This window comes from Homo sapiens, chromosome 16, assembly GCF_000001405.40.
Source record: "Homo sapiens chromosome 16, GRCh38.p14 Primary Assembly".
Classification (NCBI taxonomy): Eukaryota; Metazoa; Chordata; class Mammalia; order Primates; family Hominidae; genus Homo; species Homo sapiens.
The window spans coordinates 51,180,553-51,185,237 of record NC_000016.10 but is presented as its reverse complement, the minus strand read 5'-3'; the positions used below and the strand labels follow the sequence as shown (position 1 = coordinate 51,185,237).

The window sequence follows — 4,685 nt, the reverse complement described above, 5'->3', positions numbered from 1 at the left end:
TCCCTGGGGGAAGGGGCTACTACTCATCACTCTAAATGAGACTAAGGGAGGTACAGGGCTCCCCGGAAGTCACACAGCTGCTTCGTGCTGCAGCTGGGATCTGGCCCCCAAGCTTGCACACACACATTTCCAACTGTCTCCTGAAAGAAGCAAGGCCACTGAGGTGTGGGTCAAGCAGATGGCACGGGGTGAAGGAAAAATGCCCAAGATGCTGACTTTTTAAAAATGCATTCTGAGATGAGCATGACTGGCAGATTCTCCGCCCATTGCCACCCAGAAAGAGAGGGTCCCCGGCCAGCTTGAACCAGTGCCCCAGCTGTGGAAGGAGACAACCTGGCTCCCGAGCTGTTTACTTCTCAGCCATAAACAGGAAGGCCATAAAAGGGGCCCCTTTTGGTCAACCACTCAGGGGCTTCTCTCTCCTCCTCCTCTTCCTTTTCCTCCTCCCAAGTACGTGTCCCTAGGCAGAGAGAGTGTTTCCTTGAGGCTGCTACCTCCCAAGTGTCATTGTCTCTTTGCCTTAAAGAACCTCCTTTGAGCTGGAAATTCCAACTGTTGAAGTCACTACTGAGTTGAAGAAAAGGTAGATGCTTGTGCCCAGCCTAGAGAGCTCAAGGACTTGTGGGGTACAGTGCCAGGCATGCAATAACCTCTCTGATCTCCACTGGCCACTTTGAAAACTAATGAATAAATAGAAATGGCTCCTTTTCTGAAAAGAGAAAACTGCAATTCTAAAAGAAACCTGGAGAGGAAGTGACCAAGATATTCAGAGGTGAGAACCCCCAAAGGAAAGTAGACAGCACGTCTCAAATAATGTTCTCTATCACATTCTTTCCCAAAAGCTTCTACAAAAAAAAACAAAAGGTAGAGAGAGGGATTCCACAACAAAGCAGGGTTGCCCTCTTAGAGACACATGCAGCGCGTGTGGCTTTTTAAAGGTTCTGAGAAGTTCTGCAGCAAAGGACCTTGTTTCATTGCATAATGTGTTTTCCAAATGTTTTTGCCCACAAGATTCTATTTCCACAAATGGTTCATTTATTCTTATGACATTTCAAGTCCCCTTTGATGGCTTTGAGAACCTCTGGGTTAATGCATGAGGTCAGGTGTGCTGAACGTTCACTGGTCTCATCTCACCTTGACTTTCCTTTTCAGTCTTCATGTTAGGGACTCTTAGACGTAACCTTTACTGTTTACTGTCTCCACTCCCCAAGAATGAGCTGAGCCCCACAAGACAGCTGAAGAGATGAGGCAGATGGAAATACCTGGGCCTCTTCAGGGAGTTATCAGGGAATTGCTTTCTTTGGATCCAGGGAGATCTCCTGTTTTCAGGAAGTCTTGTTCAGTTACAGCCTCTTCTCTCTTTGGCTCAATGACATTCAGCTAGATCCTGCTCAATCCCACAGGGCATGGTGATATGAAAGCTTCTAGAAATGCATCATGTGAAACTATTAGTGTTTCCTTGAGGAGTATTTGTGTGTGAGTATGACAGCCTCATGCAAAAATTTGGATAACCCTAGTAAAACATTTTTTGTTGAGACAGGGTCTTGTTCTGTTGACCAGGCTGGAGTTCAGTGGCTCATTCACAGTTTACTGCAGCCTCAACCTCCCAGCTCAAGCAATCCTCTCACCTCAGCCTCCCAAGTAGCTGGACTACAGGTTCCCACCACTATGCCTGGCTAATTTTTAAAAATTTTTTTATAGAGAAGGGGTTTCACCATGTTGTCTAGGCTGGTCTCGAACCCCTGGGCTCAAGTGATCTGCTCACCTCAGCCTCCCAATGTGCCACAGGTATGAGCCACTGTGCCTGGCCACAAAACATTTTTGATGTGACTGAGTCCTTGAAAATCTGTGTGACTATTCTCTTTCCATCCCCAGCCCGGGAACACCCCCGACCCCTATCATCTTACTTCAGGGAAACTCTCTGGGCACTGGACATCTTACCACAGTCCTACCTCCCCACCAAAGCCTTCTCAGACTACCATGGCTATGTCACTAGCACATATCTGTTACTGGCTTGAATTTTTTGTGCTTTGTTTTGTTTTTAATGAAAACTTGAATGTTGTAAGGTCTCAAACTGATGAACCAAGCCTAGCTTACTGATGTCTTAGCTTCATGGTGTTTAAAAAAAGAAAAAGAAAATATTTCTATCGGTTGGTTTTACATTAAAATGCTGGATTTATGGCCTCTGCTTAAAAAAAAAAATCAGAGGATCTGGCAAAGAAGGCCTACATTCCTCTTTTACAACCATCAGCAGGAAGTCAGAAGCAGTCTTCAGATGAAACAAATACCTTCAGTTTGCTGGTCCCCACCATTCCCTAATGTCACTTAGAAACAAAGACACTGAGCCATTTATTCCAGTTTTACCATTAACTAGCTGGGTGATCTCAGGCAAGTAACTAAATCTCTCTATGTCTCAATTTTCTCATCTGGAAAATGGAAACAATAATAAGACCCTGCCTATATCAGTTAGGTTAAGCGAGGTTCACTGTGGTTAAAAAAAAAAAAATCTCCAAAATCTTAGTGAATTACCATGACGAAAGTTTATTTCTTACACTCCATATCTCATGCCAGTTGACACAGGGCAGGGTTAAGAGAGAGGTTGCTCTAGATATCATAGACTCAGAGTTCCAGGGCAAAGGAGGTTCCATCTTGGCACACTTTTCCGTGGTCAATCCAGGGACCATGGGAGTCAGGGTTAGGAAACAAAGTGGAGAATCACTCACTAAGTCTTAAGACTTCCACCCAGAAGTGGCACACATCAATTTCATTCACATCCCATTGGCCAAAGTAAGTTACATGCTCTTGCCTAACTTCACAAGGGGCAGGGAGCATTAACTTGCAACTAACAGACTTACTGTAATGCTTCCAAGCTCTTCTCTTTCATGGGACCCTGTGCCTAATTTATATTTGTAAGTTGGTATTCCTTTCTTTCAAGAGGTCCCCACAAATTGGATAAGCTTTAAGCTCGGCAAAACCTGGATCCACTTCTGGACAGAAACATTTGTTAAGAACCCTAATGATTTCCCGACTACCTCATGAGCTTGCTGTGAGAATGGAGTTAAAACGTAGCACTTTCAAGACAGCATCAAGCACTGGGTATCTATTCTATGGGTATTGACTTCTATTATTATTAGGACAATAGTAACACTTCACAGTTCTGACTTTCATACTGGACACAAAACACACACACACACACATACACACACACACACACAATTTGCTCAGTAATGAACACTGGCTCATCAGGAAGCCATCACTAACCACCACAGAGAATTGTCATATGTTAGGGGATCCTTGACTGTGACCTTGAGGAAGTCCTGTTCCTTTTCTGGGCTTCAGTCTCCACTTCTGTCCGTGGGGGTTAGTGGGGAGTGGTCCCAGATGACTTGTGCTGCTCCATGACACTGAGTGAGGGGCCCCTTAAGGGCTATGGGTACAGGTAGGAATGCTAGTTGTGGCGAAGAAAGCTAGAGCTGATTAATTATGCAGGCAGCCCCACCTCTGCAAACCACCCATCTGGGAGGTCAGCCTGCAAACACTGTTTCTCTTGATATTACAGGCCTGCGTGTCTTCGCCCTTAGTTGTCCATATAAAGCATCCCAGCAGCCCACTTCCGGTGGCCTCATAAGACCCTGCCCCCACACATTGTCACTGGCTCACAGCTGTAGGTCCTTTTTCTAACAGCTTTTCTGCTCAGACACAAGAGATGAAAGAAAGGACCTCTCTGATGAAGCAGTTGAACTTGCTGCTTGATGTGTTCTTCCCTGAATTTTTTTTTTTCATCCTCCTTTGCAAGCTCCCAATTGCAGTCTCTCCAAATGCCTTTTCCTATTTGAATGCAAAAGACAGTAAAGGAAACACGCCCCCACCCCATCCTAACTCACACACAAAAAAGCCCATTCAAGTCCTCTTCCCCCATTTCCTGGATGAGTGTCCTGGGCAAGTAACTTAATCTCTCTGAGTCTATATCATCACCTGTAAAAAGAGAGACAACTGCCCTCACCATATATGAGTGTTACATTGGAAACACCTTGTGAATGTAAAAGGGTAGAGAAGAGTGTACCACTTCTGTTTTGATTTCTCTGAATCAGTATGTAGTAGTTTTCTGTTGTTGCGAAATGAATTACCACAAATTTAGCAGCTTAAAACAACATCCATTTAATATCCCACGATTCTATAGGTCAGAAGTCCAGGCAGTCTCACCTGGACTCTGCTCAGAGTCTCACAAGGCCAACATCAAAGTGTCAGCCAACTGGGTTCTTATCTGGGGGATTTGGGAAATATTCTGCTTCCAATTTTTTACAGTTGTTGACAGAATCCTGTTCCTTGTGGCTTCAGGTCTGACATCCACATTTTGTCACTGTCAGCTGGGGGTTGGGGTTGGTCTCGGCCTCTCCAGGCTGCTCATATTCCTTCTCATGGGGTTCCCTCCACCTTCAAAGCCACAGAAGGAACATCAAATCCTCACCTTTTCAATTAAGAGGTCACCTGATTGGGTCAGGTTCACCCAGATACTCTCCACATTTTAAAGTCGATTTACTTAGGGCTTTATTTGCATCTGCAAAATTCCCTCTCAGCAGCATTTGTGTTAATGTTCAATTGAGTCAACAGAAGAGGAGAATCTTGGGGGAAACAAGGGCATTTTTAGAATTCTGCCTACCGTAACACAGCAATTCTCAAACTGC

At 44.7% G+C, this 4,685-nt stretch overlaps 2 annotated features.

Moving 5' to 3' along the window:
• Positions 2,655-3,462: an enhancer, noted in NCBI's record as "H3K27ac hESC enhancer chr16:51215687-51216494 (GRCh37/hg19 assembly coordinates)". NCBI's record gives its function as "activates a minimal SCP1, AML or CMV promoter by ChIP-STARR-seq in naive H9 embryonic stem cells {active_cell/tissue: H9 hESC(naive)}" and the evidence as "EXISTENCE:reporter gene assay evidence [ECO:0000049][PMID:30033119]".
• Positions 3,463-4,270: an enhancer, noted in NCBI's record as "OCT4-NANOG-H3K27ac hESC enhancer chr16:51214879-51215686 (GRCh37/hg19 assembly coordinates)". NCBI's record gives its function as "activates a minimal SCP1, AML or CMV promoter by ChIP-STARR-seq in primed H9 embryonic stem cells {active_cell/tissue: H9 hESC(primed)}" and the evidence as "EXISTENCE:reporter gene assay evidence [ECO:0000049][PMID:30033119]".